The sequence below is a fragment of the Homo sapiens genome, chromosome 17 (assembly GCF_000001405.40).
Source record: "Homo sapiens chromosome 17, GRCh38.p14 Primary Assembly".
NCBI lineage: Eukaryota > Metazoa > Chordata > Mammalia > Primates > Hominidae > Homo > Homo sapiens.
This window is the reverse complement of record NC_000017.11, coordinates 82,860,031-82,873,597: the sequence shown is the minus strand read 5'-3', so window position 1 is coordinate 82,873,597 and position 13,567 is coordinate 82,860,031. Positions and strand designations below refer to the sequence as shown.

The 13,567-nt window shown below is 56.5% G+C and overlaps 1 protein-coding gene and 1 long non-coding RNA gene across 26 annotated transcripts in view, besides 7 other annotated features; one reads left to right on the top strand and one right to left on the bottom strand.

Moving 5' to 3' along the window:
* The window catches only part of TBCD (tubulin folding cofactor D), a 193,850-nt gene that overhangs the window by 72,317 nt on the left and 107,966 nt on the right, over window positions 1-13,567 (bottom strand). For 22 of the 25 annotated variants that reach the window (NM_005993.5, NM_001411102.1, NM_001437989.1 and 19 more), the window contains one exon: window positions 3,218-3,374. The exons of 1 other annotated variant lie outside the window; for it this stretch is intronic. In NM_005993.5, the coding sequence (NP_005984.3) occupies window positions 3,218-3,374 (157 nt within the window). Of the gene's footprint in view, window positions 1-3,217; window positions 3,375-9,170; window positions 13,232-13,567 lie in introns of those variants that run through there. 2 more of the 25 variants (XM_024450899.2, XM_024450900.2) reach the window with 2 other exon arrangements.
* On the top strand, window positions 972-4,996 carry LOC124904096 (uncharacterized). The gene is made up of 2 exons (XR_007065971.1): window positions 972-3,983; window positions 4,376-4,996. It is a non-coding gene; the product is annotated as an uncharacterized LOC124904096 (long non-coding RNA).
* Window positions 1,548-2,745: an enhancer, noted in NCBI's record as "amplified fragment containing the chr17:80828733-80829926 (GRCh37) CAGE-defined region". NCBI's record gives its function as "transcribed enhancer in B cells {active_cell/tissue: B cell}" and the evidence as "EXISTENCE:reporter gene assay evidence [ECO:0000049][PMID:24670763]".
* Window positions 1,781-1,940: a silencer, noted in NCBI's record as "silent region_9231". NCBI's record gives its function as "represses an Ori minimal core promoter by ATAC-STARR-seq in GM12878 lymphoblastoid cells {active_cell/tissue: GM12878}" and the evidence as "EXISTENCE:reporter gene assay evidence [ECO:0000049][PMID:35858748]".
* Window positions 2,061-2,110: an enhancer, noted in NCBI's record as "active region_13018". NCBI's record gives its function as "activates an Ori minimal core promoter by ATAC-STARR-seq in GM12878 lymphoblastoid cells {active_cell/tissue: GM12878}" and the evidence as "EXISTENCE:reporter gene assay evidence [ECO:0000049][PMID:35858748]".
* Window positions 6,424-6,923: an enhancer, noted in NCBI's record as "H3K4me1 hESC enhancer chr17:80824551-80825050 (GRCh37/hg19 assembly coordinates)". NCBI's record gives its function as "activates a minimal SCP1, AML or CMV promoter by ChIP-STARR-seq in primed H9 embryonic stem cells {active_cell/tissue: H9 hESC(primed)}" and the evidence as "EXISTENCE:reporter gene assay evidence [ECO:0000049][PMID:30033119]".
* Window positions 6,924-7,425: an enhancer, noted in NCBI's record as "H3K4me1 hESC enhancer chr17:80824049-80824550 (GRCh37/hg19 assembly coordinates)". NCBI's record gives its function as "activates a minimal SCP1, AML or CMV promoter by ChIP-STARR-seq in primed H9 embryonic stem cells {active_cell/tissue: H9 hESC(primed)}" and the evidence as "EXISTENCE:reporter gene assay evidence [ECO:0000049][PMID:30033119]".
* Window positions 8,691-8,770: a silencer, noted in NCBI's record as "silent region_9230". NCBI's record gives its function as "represses an Ori minimal core promoter by ATAC-STARR-seq in GM12878 lymphoblastoid cells {active_cell/tissue: GM12878}" and the evidence as "EXISTENCE:reporter gene assay evidence [ECO:0000049][PMID:35858748]".
* Window positions 9,061-9,570: an enhancer, noted in NCBI's record as "active region_13017". NCBI's record gives its function as "activates an Ori minimal core promoter by ATAC-STARR-seq in GM12878 lymphoblastoid cells {active_cell/tissue: GM12878}" and the evidence as "EXISTENCE:reporter gene assay evidence [ECO:0000049][PMID:35858748]".

Here is a 13,567-nt window from a genome sequence, read left to right as displayed (position 1 = left end):
AGAACTTTCTTGCTCGTGACTTTTCTCTCCGGCCCCAGCTGAGCTGCCAGCCCCGTCCAGTAGCGGGGACTTGATTTGTTCGGACAGTTGCACCTGCATTTCTCCAAAGTCGGCACCTGATCTGGAGACTCTCATTACAGTCACCCTCCAGTGGGATCAGCTTTCCCCCAAAACAGAGAACCCATGAGTGATGGCCCATACACGACCCTGGGTTCCGTGCCCACCTAGACACCCTCCCAGGTGAGTGGAGGTTTCGTCTCACCCCCATGTCCTGTGCCAGCCCTCAACCCTGGCCCGACTCCTCCTGTGACACTGGACCAGGGAGTCCTCCCCAGGATGAAGGGCAGGCCCAGGTTTCAGTGATGTTGACAGCTCTTAGACAAAATATGAGGCTGAAAAGGAAATCCGTGAGGATTTTCACCATGAAAGGGGAACCACCATCTGAGGGGCCAGATGCAGCTGCAGCCGTCACACGTCTGCATTCAGGGTCTTTCCACGGCCTCACAGCAGGTGGTGAGGAGCTTCTCAGCCACGAGGCAGCGCTGAGCCCCGGGCCAGGGCCTGGGAGCTGCTGCCCAGACGGGCCTGGCTCAGAAGCCGTCGGCCACGAGGTGCCGGGCCTGGCTCAGAAGCCGTCGGCCACGAGGTGCCGGGCCTGGCTCAGAAGCCGTCGGCCACGAGGTGCCGGGCCTGGCTCAGAAGCCGTCGGCCACCAGGTGATGGGCCTGGCTCAGAAGCCTTCGGCCACCAGGTGATGGGCCTGGCTGGGAAGCCGTCAGCACAAGGTGCTGGACAGGTGTCTTCAGTGCTGTCCTGACTTCCTCAGTGAAACCAGAATGACGGTGGCCCCTGCCCACCTCTCAGGGTTGCTAAGGAAACTGAATGAGATATCAACGTAAGGAAGTTTTCTCGTTCTGTGACTATTCCTATCAACAATAAGAAAGATACATTTTTTTGCTTTCACTTCCTAGTTACAGGATCAACTTCCTAGAAGTGCAGGAGCAGCACAAGGAAGTAACAGGAAGAGCCTTTCCTGAGGCTGATCACACACAAGAGCTCCCGCACACAGACAGCAGCGCTGCAGGCTGGCACAGGCACGCGGCAGGGCCTCAGGAGCTCGGCAGGGGCCTAAAGCCGGACCTCTCCGTCTTCTCTGCTCCACTCTGCAAGGCACTGCTCCCTGAAGACCACCAGCAGCCAAGCCCCTGCCCAGCAGCGCTGCCAGAGTGGCCACTGGGGAGAGCAGCAGACAGAGGCCACAGCCGCTCTCAGCCACCCCAGACCTCCCTGGCCTCAGGTAAGCCACACTCTCCATAACACGTTGGCCAGCACCAGCACCCTCCAGCCGCGCTGTTCTCCTCCGAAGAGGAGCAGGACAAGAGGGACGTGCGTGTTCACAGCTGCCTCGGGAAACACACGGTCTCCCTGGATAGGAGGAGGACCCTCGGCTCCTCTCAGGCTTCGCTCTGATGCAAGAATCTAGACTATGAGACGCTGGCCACGTGCTGCACACCCAGGGAAGTAACCGGGTTGAGGTCCCTCTCCGGACGCTACTGAGTATTTGGTAAGATGGAACAGCAGTGGGCAGGAACAAGAGAAAAGCGCCTGTCACCGAGACCCTTCGGAGCCTACACCAGCGTGTGCCTCACAACGAGCTGCTTACCAGCGTGTGCCTCACAACGAGCTGCTTGTCGGACACAGGCAGTGGCGCTTACACCCGGGTGCGTGAGGGAACCCAGGAGCCACAGTGGAGGCGCACCCAGGACGTCCAAAAGACGAAGCCCCACGAGATCAAAGCCAAGCGGGCCCCAGGCCAACGCTGGCCCCGCCACATGCCGGGGAGGCCCTGCTGGTGCTCGCGGGGCGTGCGGGGCAGAGGGGACCCAGCACAGTAGCCTGAGCCTGCCACCAGGGGCATCTGCCACCGGCGCCCCGCCCCGCCCAGACCAAAAGGAGCAGTGCACTTCCAGGTGGAAGCTTCAGACGCTGCATCCCATGACCCCTTCAGGCGTCTTGTAGTGAGCAGGGGACGCTCGGCTCCTGAACAGCTGCAGGAGGAGCTTCTAAGACTTGGGCATAATTCTGAAGTCAGTTTCCCTAGTTCATTTTCCTAGTAAAAGTTGTCAGGTGAAGTGCGGGTGTGAAACCTTGTGATGATTCAGCCGTGGGCTCACACACCCATGACGGACAGTGACACTGAGTCGCCTTCCTCGGTGTCCCGCCTCCAGCTCCTTCATGCACAACAAGAAAGGAAGCACCTGCCTTCTTCAGCACAAAAGAACTCATTTCAGTCCAAAAGCAGTGTACAAAACCAGCGCACACGGTTGAATTGAATTGAATCGTTTCCTGCGCTGGGGACACATGTTTTGCATGTTTCCTAAGCAAAAAGTATCAGATCCTGAAAGTCCCTGGCACAGGACACCACTACGGGGCTCAGCTGGGTGCGCGCACTGGACACCGAGGCAGGAGCCCCGCCCGCCACAGGCCGCACAGCTTCTGGGGTTCTGGTGATCCCATGAAACCTGCTGGCTTCAGTTTTCTCATCAGGAAGCCAGAGGGAAAAAGTGTCTCCCTACCTCCCAGAGGTTCTGAAGTGTTCACTTACATCTCAGAGGAGCTGACATCAGGCATGCCAGCGAAGGCTATTGCTACTGAACATTCTCTCAAGTGCTGGTCCACAAAAACACAAAATCCAGCTCCTCAACAAAAACAAACACCATCTGAAGACTGCCATGTCCAACATGCCTGCTGTATTCCAGAGGAACTTGAAAGGAGATAGAGACAGAATTCGCCTCTCGCCAAGACCCACGACCGCAGGGAGCACGCACAGGCGATTCCCGTGCCCCACTTGCTTCCTCCCACGCCACCCAGCGTGCCGATCACCTGCGCCCAAGAATCTGCTGCCTGCAGGGTGACCAAGACCTCCGGAATGTTCCTCCACACACTTCTGCTCTGGTTGTCGATCACCTGCGCCCAAGAATCCACTGCCTGCAGGGTGGCCAAGACCTCCAGAATGTTCCTCCACACACTTCTGCTCTGGTTGCTCACCCACAGAAAAGGAGCTTGACCTCCAAGCGGTGGCTTTGTCACAGATCCTCTGGCCAAGTAATTTCACCTTTTCACGAGCATCTGCTGTGCACACCTCTCATGGAGGAAACGACACACGGCGCCGTCAGGGGGCACGGCGCATCCGATGTACCTCGACGAATGGGCCTACCTCGAGATTGCAGTCACAAAGGGCTTCAGCTCCTGAGGCTCATAGGCACGCGCGAAGGCCCAGCACACGTAGCAGGCGGCGTCCCTGACGTTGGTGCCCACGCTGCAGGCACCCCGCTTCTCGTCGTAGGTCAGCGCCTTCAGGATCACGGCGACAACTGGGCAAGGACAAGAGAAAAGACGGTGAGGAGCAGACCACACGGGCAACACGTGAGGCTTCAGAGAAGTGGGGCTCAGGGCCGGAGCGCGGTCACGGTGCCAGATGAGTGAGGCACGCAAGCGACACGGAGCCCACCCAGAGGTTCGGGGCTCCTGTTAGACCCACGGCCTGGTCAGAAAACAAACCTACGAAAGGAAGATGCATGCTCACCAACTCAGATCCAGTGAAAGGATTTTTTTCAAGTGCCATGAAGCAAAAGCTCCTTCAGAATAGCACATGATACCACCCAGGGGTCTGCCGAGTCTGAGGAGACTCAAGGAAACGCAGCTCCTGCCAGGCAGGGAGGAAGAGGAGCCCCTGGTTCAGGGGAGGGAGAGGCGCCCCTGGTTCAGGGGAGGGAGAGACGCAGATGCCAGGCAGTGCCTGGAATTGTACTGTCGTGGACACGCAAAGGCAGAGCGTCCCAGGGGATGCCTGGCTCTGCCCAGAGCAGGTCTGGGGTGAACCAGGATGAAAATGCAAAGCCGGCCACGGCTCCTACAGTGCTGACTTCAAGAATAACCCATGCAGGGCTCCTATGCAAAACAGCCACGCAGAGAAATCCGAGGTAGGTGTGGATTATCCTTCCAGCTCCATTCAAAAGTGGGTTAATGGGTAATCTGACATCACACAAGTGTGATTTCATTTATTTCTTATTTTTTTGAGACAGGGTCTGGCTCTGTCTCCCAGGCTGGAGTGCAGTGCCACAATCTTGGCTCACTGCACCTTCCACCTCCCAGGCTCAAGCGATCCTCCCTCCTCAGCCTCCTAAGTAGCTGAGACTACAAGCATGCCACCATCACACCCAGCTACTTTTTAAATTTTTTGTAGAGATGGCATCCCACGTTACCCAGGCTACCCGATTTTTTACATAGACATGAGAGGATTTTAGGACGTGGTGTAAGTATATGGGGATGTTCCAAGAAGCTAAAGTTTTACTGTATTTGTTCGATTTATTAGGTTCATGTATTTCAAGTGCTTTGGAATAAATACTTGAGATCAACTGCTGAACAAAGAAAACGGAACACAGCTATGAAGCCAGCAATGGAGACCCACGGAGCCAGGGGGAGCACCCAAGCCTCCAACCCAGCTCAGCCTCCCCAGATAAGCACTCCTCCCCAGGTGGCCCTCACGCTGAAGCACCCACACACCAAGGCCTCATTCAGGGCTCTGCACACGACCCGCTCCACGCACACGCCAGGGTCTCGTTCGGGGCTCTGCACACGACCCGCTCCACGCACACGCCAGGGTCTCGTTCGGGGCTCTGCACACGACCCGCTCCACGCACACGCCGTCTGTACACTTCACACCCACCAATCAAGTTCACTAACACTACACACAGTCTGAGAAAAGGCACTCCCGGGATGGATACATGAGAGGCCGGTTATCTGCACATGCAACTGTCATCAGATACATTATCTCCCAGAAAAATGCACCTAGAAATGGTCTTAGGCAAAACACCATAAGCAACAACTGTAGGACTACGAATATTATATGCAAATTTCCCCTCTGACTTTTTGCATCTAAGGATCTTTTATTCTCTATAAACAGCAATAAAAATGGATGTTTCTGCACAGTGTATTTTATATACATATGGTGATTACTTTTAATAAGATTATTACGTTTATACACTTACTAAAACTACATAAAAATGAACTTTCCTCAAAATAGAAAGTTCAAAGATACCGTGGTATCAAGAATGTGAAATTCGCCAGAGTGAGGGGCTAGGGAAACTGCCTCCTCTCAGCCCAGCCACGACGCAGGGCGCTGCACACAGAGGCCCGGGGGAGCAGCAGGACATTCCGGGGTCCCTGCCAGACACCAAGGTCTCCCCAGCCTGCCAGGGCTCCAGGCAGGGGCCCACCCCTCTCCAAGCCACCTTTCCTCAGGACACCCCACCTGGATGCGCTGCAGCTTCTTCAAGCCCAGTGCCCACAGAAGAGCTGTCCTCCGGTGTGGTGCCCCCGCCATGGCCAGCCCTCTCCTTGGGTGCAGCTCAGGGCCGGCTCCTCCTCACTCCTCCACATCCAGACACCGCGCCATTCCCAGAGCCCGCCCCAACTGCGGCAGCCACGCCTCTACAGGACCGGACCACCTCCCACCATGGTCAGACCACCATCAGCTCTCACCCCCAGGACCCCACAACTCACTGTGGAAGGCCCTGCACGGCCACACACGGCAGCTCTGCGTTCCCTCTCTCGGCCATGACTCCCTCCCGCAAAGCACCTCCCGGAGTCCTCCCCCTGGGGGACCTGTGCTCTCCAAGGCCCTCCTCACACAGGTCAGAGCCGGCAGCACCATCACCGGCAGGAGGCACTGAGGGTAAAGGCCAGGGCTGCCATCAATCTGCAAACCAGAAACTGCTGGATGATTTGCAAGAGTATCTCTCACTTCTTGTAAATGTCAAACATTTTCCTTCTAAAAAGTCAGTGAGGATCACAGAATGCATGTGAGACGCGAAACCAAACAAGAAGGCGGCTGTGAGACAGAAAAAGCCACTGACTCTAATAAGCGGGTTCAAGATGATTACCTCGATCCGAACTAAACCAAATCTGTGACGCCCAAAAGGCCCTCAGTTGTTTGCCCCGGAAAGTCCACTCTGAGCCTTCTCGCACTGCTCACGTTCACTTTCTGTGCTAACAGGGCAGCCTGTTCGTGGCCAACACATCAAAACTAACAGGCTGTGGCACCTTCAAGAGGAAAGCGCTGCCCAAATGTGGCATCCCTGCCAGGCCAGATCCCCAGGGACAGTCACTGCAACACCACTCCAGGCAGCCCCAGGCACGACCACCCGGCAACTCCATAGCCTCGGGCATCTGGGTGCAAACCGCTGAGTCCCAATTTATTCATCCACTGGACAGACCGACTCCCAACAGACAACCGCGAGTGGCAGTGGCCAGCATGGACAATGGCCTCAGGCCTCCTGCACGCCCAACGCATGCACCTGGACACTGCTTGGCAGCCCTGTGAGAAGCCCCCAAGGGAGGACACAGACCCCCCACCCCAGGCCACGGAGGTGCTGGGGGAGCTGATCCCACCACACCCCCAGGACCTGACCTCGGTAGGGGAGCCCAGGTTTCTGTCCCCAAGTCCGTGTAAGATGGTTCTCTTTAGCACCATCGTAGTCAGCTGCTGGGATGAATCAGCCACCCAGAGACAGCTGTGCAGACACAGCGTCCACTAACAGGCATCTGGGCCAACACACACACGCAGGCCTTCCTTCAGTCTGATCAGCACTTCCTGCTGGGAAAACTGATGGCCTAGGAGGTCCAGCCAGAGGCCCACCTGGCGCACTCCTCTGTCTTAAAGAGAAGAGGCCAGTTCCTGAGAGGGCTGTGGGTGGCCCGTGCACACTGGACTGCTGTCCCCAGCTGTGGACAGAGCCACAGAGGGGCTGGGCTTCCAGCTGTCCTCCCTGTGCTCCCGCAGGGCTGAGTCCCAGCAGCAGAGAACAAAGCCTGCCTCGGCCTCTGGGGCCTCTGGGGCCTCTGCCCAGGTGGCAGTGCTGCTACAGGCATCCAGAAGGGCCCAGCCAGCCTCCTTCCAGGCCAGGCCACAGCGCAAAGTCCTGGGGCCTTTCTCCTGCCCTCCTGCTGCTCAGAAACCTCCAATCCTGCTCCATGACACCCGCAAGAGACGTCAGGGCCCCACACGCCAGCACAGGTGAAGCGGCAGCTGCCAAGGCCTGGCTGCTGACGGCATCCCCGGGAGTCCTAGAAGCTGAGGATGTTTCTCCTCGCAGGTCCCTAGAAAGGAATCTGATTTGCACAAAGTAAAACAGCTTGAGAGGGTGTGAGATGATCAATTTCCTTAACAAGAACAGAAAAACCAAGCCTCTTGGCTCTGATTCATCCCAGGGTGGTAGGTGCTGCTATACCCTGGGGTGAAAAATGGAGTGAGGACTGCTTCTCCTGCTCGGGATAAAGGGGAGGACTTGGGCTGCCAGCTCTGACATCTCGGGACCCTGAACACAAGGGACAGGCCAGCCTTGACAGCCAGGCACCTGGGCGACCACAAAGCTCGGGGAGGGGCGTGTGGAACAGAAACTCCTCTGCCATAAACTTTTATATAACGTTATTATCAGAAAAAAATTTCAAAAACAACTCTTTCCAGATTCAACAGGTTTAAAATAAGGAAACTATCCAATAGCTCTGAACAAAAACCTTTCTCATGGTTCCAATTACACACAGCAAATGCATGTCGCGTATAGAACACACCCCAGGAGGCTTCCTTTTGGCAACCCAGGTCCAGCCATGTAATTGAAAAACCCTTCTCTCTAGACAGCCTGTCATTTGTTGAACGCCAATTGCCTGAGGAAAAAGCAGCCTCCAGGTGACAGAAACAACTTAACCCTCAGAGCACCACAGTCCCCACTGCAATATGTGACCCCAAGGGGCAGAAGGGATCCAGGCATTCTCTGCACAAAAGGTAGAAATAATCCCTCCACAAAAAATCATCATATAGTTACGCCTTCTGATAACTAATGAGGTTTTACTAATTTTAAAAACAAACATCACTGCCAGGCATAAACTGCATCGTGCTGGACTTCTGCAGATGTAGCTGGTGCAGACCGCATCGCCCTGTCAGGCCTTCCCATTTCGGCACTGGGCGGTGAGGGCTGTGCACAGTGCAGCCGAGTACCCCCGCGGCACAGACAGCCCGCCACACCCTCCACGAGGAAGGCGTGGAAACGTGGGCACCTCCCACATAGCCCAGAGAGGGTGGCTGTGGGCAGGGGGTGTCTCCCCGACTGCTCAGGCCCCTGCAGAGCACTGAGCCTCCCTCCCACGATGGGGTGGATGTGGAGGGACCCTCAGCGTGGAGCCTGCCGGTGCAGAGCCCGAGCGCAGGAAACGGCTCCCGAGAGCCGCGTGGCCGTCCCTGCAGACCCTCCCTTCAGCACCAGCACACACAGCCATCCGTGTGGCCGTCCCTGCAGACCCTCCCTTCAGCACCAGCACACACAGCCATGGCTCCTGTCCCAAAAATGCAGCTCAACTTGCTCAGAAAAAAAAACGCCAGTGTTGAATTTGCTAGGAGGTAAGAGGCAGTGATGGACAGAACACCTGGTTCCACTGACATCTGGGTTTCCAGTTCCCACAGGACGTTGTAGAGAAGCCTTCCCAGAGGCCCTCAGCTGCCTGCAGGGAGCAGCAGCTGGCCTCATGTCTGCTGCACCTGCAACGCTGCACAGTGGGGCAAGCACAGACTTGGTGCTCGGCCTGCCCTTGGGGGGCAAGGAGCCCCACCCCCAACACAAGCAGGCCCCCGCTGTCCCCACGGTGCCCCAGGGAGTGAGCAGGCCCCCGCTGTCCCCACGGTGCCCCGGGGAGTGAGCAGGCCCCCGCTGTCCCCACGGTGCCCCGGGGAGTGGTGATCCCAGCCCTTCCTGTGCTGCTAGGGTGGGCGCCCGGATATGCATCACCTGCTCTGCTCTCCCCCAGTGCCCCAAGCACAACCCCGGCCTCGGTGGGATCACGCACCAAGCCCCAAGCCCGCTCTTTCCACAGGAAAGTCACCCAGCCACGCTGGCCCAGCAACTCTCCCCACCTGTGCCTGTGAACCAAGATCCCACCTGCCACCACCCACTGTGCAGGGTCGCAGAGTCAAGGACCCTCTGTCAAGGTGCTGGGGACAGTCACAAATCCCCACCACACGTGAGGCACGCAGGCCAGGCCAGGTGTATGACACACCCTGGCCAACACGAAGACACAGAGCCCGGGTCACCCAACTGTCACCAAGCTCAGATTCTTACAGTTGTTAAAATAAGAGCACAGAACGTCCCTGCTGTGAAAGGCCACCTCCTGGAGAGCACAGAGAGCCGGCACTCGATCTGCCTGGATGGGGGCGATGAGGAAGCCCCACAGGCTGGGCACCCGCAGGTCACACAGCAGCTTTCTGTTCTCTGCACTACATTTGTTTCTTCATGAAATTAAAAAGTGAGACGCTTCAAAGAGCCCTGGAAGCACAAGTGAAGCTGATAAATCACACAAGAGATGACTCATCTTTTACCCACTCTCTAAGAAAGTCCCAGGCCACAACACAGATGGCAGCCATGCCGCAAACCTCCTGTGGAGCGTCAACAGCAGGCAGCTCCCTTCACTGGTAAGACAGCCCCTAAGAACACTGGTTAGGAGGTTCCAGCACCAAAACTGTAAATGCTGCACCCAGTGAAGATGATTTTGCATTTAGTCCTGAGGGTGGTAATCTACTCAGCTGTCACTGACTGCACGTCGGACTGCCGCTGTGAGGCATTTGAAAGGCTTGAGAAGCACAACTCTATAAAAAGCTCCACGTGAAAACCAGACAGGACTGAACTGGGCCCCTGCTACCCTCTCTGCCCCCATCACCCACCTCTGCTATCAGGCAGCACCTCCTACTCCTCTCCAGGTTCCTCACCAATCCTGCTCTCCCAACAGGATCTGAGGCCAGCTGCATCAGGAGCCAACTGCTGCTTCCCGAGGAGGCTTACAGTCTGAGACCAGGGAAGGCGCCCAGTTCCTCCAGGGGTCAATGCTGAGCTCAGGGGCACTGATGAGCAGAGTTTTGGGAGGGCACTGGGTCCAAAGGCTGCGTCCCGAGCACTAACCCCTCAACCAGCACCCTCCCCGCTCACACTGGACCACACTGCCTGCACCCTACCCGCACACAGTAGGTGCAACATTATTGTGAGTGAGTGCTTCTCTCCCATTCTTTCTCCAAGAACACAGATCATTTGCAATTTTTCAGAACTGCTTAAGCCGTCGCTCTCGGAGAGCTTTCCCTAGGACCTGGCTGGAGCCTGGCCACCCTCATCACTGAAGGGTCCTGTACAGACACCGCTTGGCCTCCACGCTGCGTCCGGGTCTGCGAAGCCACAGCACCTAAAGGTTCCAGGCACACAGCACAGGCCAAAGCCCTGGGAAGAAATGCTTCTCCTCCTCCTGGGGGCATCTGCCACCCAGCCTGCAGCCAATGTGGTGAAGCAGCTGATCTGAGGACTAAGCCTGGACAGACACAGGCACCACGAGGACGGTGGGGCCAGCACATGGAGGCCTGGTTCCCACAGCTTGGTCCCTGGGCTACTGGAAAGCAACACAAAGAAATTACGATCCCATCCTCATATCTTCACTTTTTGACATTAATAAGCCTCCCAAAAGGGAGGTCAAGAGGTCAACACAAAAGGCGGACGGCTACATTCCACCCAGTAATCCTCTCCCCAGCCACACCGCAAGACCAAGCAGGGGCAGCCGTCACCAGATATCCCAGCTCAGAGCTCTCATCGACAGTCACACCCGCACGCCGGCAGCCACCTCGGACGCGTGAGAGGACAGACACCTGGCCCTACTTAACGGAATGAGGCCCCGGCCTGGGGTGGCCGCCTGGACTTCCATAACTCCACAGGTGACTGACTTCTGCCACAGCTGAGCCGGGGCCGGCAACACACGTGCACAGGCAGAGAGGCCAACTCACGGCAGAAGACAGTCCCTAAGCTAAAAAGACATGGCGGGGCATCACCCTCCCGTGCTAAAGATAAATCATGTGCTTAGAAATAACCCTCAGATCGAAAAATAACCTACCCATTCACTGAATTTTTTATTTTTTCAATACAGACACTGAGAACCCATACTTTGAAACACTTTTCTCTAAGACTGAGAGATTATACTCTTTATAAATCTCCTCTTAGGCCTCATCACACATTATTCACCCAAACTGCAAGGAGGAAAGAACCCAAGGCCATGTTCCCACCTCCCCCGTCTGGGCCAAGGACCCCCAGGCTGGTCTCTGGGTGAAGGTTCCTCCACCGAGAGGCTTCTCCCTCCGGCTTCCTCCGCCGAGAGGCTTCTCCTGACCCAACTCTTCCACAGAGGCTGAGGCTCTCCAGGGAGACATTATGCAGCCCCCCTGCATAAAAATCTGACAAATATAAAATGATGGAAATAAATATAAACTCACACCACAATATAAGACCTTCAGGTTTTGGCCGGGCGCAGTGGCTCACGCCTGTAATCCCAGCACTTTGGGAGGCTGAGGCGGGCAGATCATGAGGTCAGGAGATCAAGACCATCCTGGCTAACACGGTGAAACCCCGTCTCTACTAAAAATACAAAAAATTAGCCGGGCAAGGTGGCGGGCGCCTGTAGTCCCAGCTACTCAGGAGGCTGAGGCAGGAGAATGGCGTGAACCTGGGAGGCGGAGGTTGCAGTGAGCCGAGATCGCGCCACTGCACTCCAGCACTCCAGCCTGGGCGACAGCGAGACTCTGTCTCAAAAAAAAGAAAAAAAAAAAAGACCTTCAGGTTTTTAAAAGAATTGTCTACCTCTTAATAATTTTAAACGTTCTCTATGAAAGCACCTTACTTTCTAAAATAAGCTGTAATACTAACAGAACCATTTACTAGAAAATTCCCTATTAAAATTCCCATACCTTAGCCATCCTATGCCCACCGACTCACTCCCTAGAAGAGACGTAAAAAGCCCGGTATGTGCCACGGCCACACCAGCACAGCTTGGTGAGGTGCAAAGACTCCCACATCTTTAGAGGGAAACCTTCTCAAAATCCATCTGTGCATTTACCAAGCTGCAGCTCCAATGGACAGGGCTGACAGCCGCAATCACAGCCCTCTCCGGACACATGGCCAGTGCGCGGCACACCGGGGCCGGGCTCAGGTCTCTTGACGCCCCTGGATCTGAGTTTAAGGGATGATTATCAATATAAACAAACATTGATTTTATGCCCTCACAGCTTTATTTCTCCATCCACTGATCCATCCCCCAAGAAAGAAAAGCATCATGCGAACACTCAACACCAGCAGCTGACGTGAACCAGCAGCTGACGTGAACCAGCGGCTGACGTGAACCAGCGGCTGACGTGAGGTGGAATTCAGGGCTCGCCAGGCACACGGCCCAGACTCACGGGGACCTGCGGCATGAATGTGTGCCCCCAGCCGGCCGCACATCCCAAGCCCAACGCCTGGCAGGACTGGGTGGGTCCCTGACCACCGGGGCCTGCCCTATGCATGGCCTCTGGGGCTGCCGCTGGTGCGAGGCCGTGCATCCGTGCAGCTGACCCCCACCAGCAGCAGGCGGTGACAGGGACCACCCCAACCCTGCAGCACCTGGGACAAAGCTGCCAACGCCCACACTCTTCTTGCAACGGGCCGCGGTTTTACTAAAATTAAACAGAAGAATACCAAAGCCATAAAGCATTCACGTGCATGTGACAGATTCTGAAGAGCTCCCCCCGCCAAGTCCCTGGCCACCCTGTGTCCAGGGCCGGATGCGGTGGCCGCCCTGTGTCCAGGGCCGGGTGCAATGGCCGTGTCCCAGTGCCGCCCGCCAGAGCATCCAACAAGGGCCTCCTGGCCTCCCTCAGGGGCGGGGCAGAGACCCTCCGCTCGGGACAAATGGACATGCTTCTTACACAGCCCGGACACGGGCGATGAAACAAGACAAGGGCGCTGGGGTGGAACCGAACCCCGTCCAGGGAGACCCATGGTGCCTGCAAACACAGCACACAAGGACCCCCCACAAATGGCAGAAGACACCAGGACCCTCTCCATCATCCATCAAAGCCAGTGGCGTCTGCTGGCTCTCCACTGTCACAGTGGGCACTGGATTCCAGTGTGGCCAGCCCTCCTCAGGTTCCTGTTCTAAGCTAGAACTTTCTTTTCAAGCAATCCCAAGTAATTGCTGTTTGCAAATTAATCAGCCTCAGGATCTCCTGAGCCACTGTCATTGTTAATGAAACCCACCGTGGTTCCTTCCACCTGTGTCTGTCCCCCTCGCTGTCCGCTCACTGCCACCCGAGCAGCCACCACAGGGAAAAGAGCCAGTCAGTTCCTGCCCCTCCACCACTGCGAAAGGCCACCAGAGGGGAGGGGACGCTCAGCGCAGCGTGACCGCCATGCAGGGGGCGGGGGCCCTCCCTGAAGCCAGGGCGCTCCTACCCGCTCTGCTCAACACTGTGCGCTGGCACTCGGAACGCCCACAGCTAATGACAGAGTGGCTCAAGCACAACAACTTGAAAGAAGCAAAAACAGGCATTCGGGAGAATTAAAGGCTTAACCAGGAAGTCAGGGGCCAGTTCTGCCATGACTCACTGCCTAGGACTCCCAGCCCCCATACTCAGACCTCCACTGGCCCCAAGACAGTGTCCCTGGCACAGGCACTT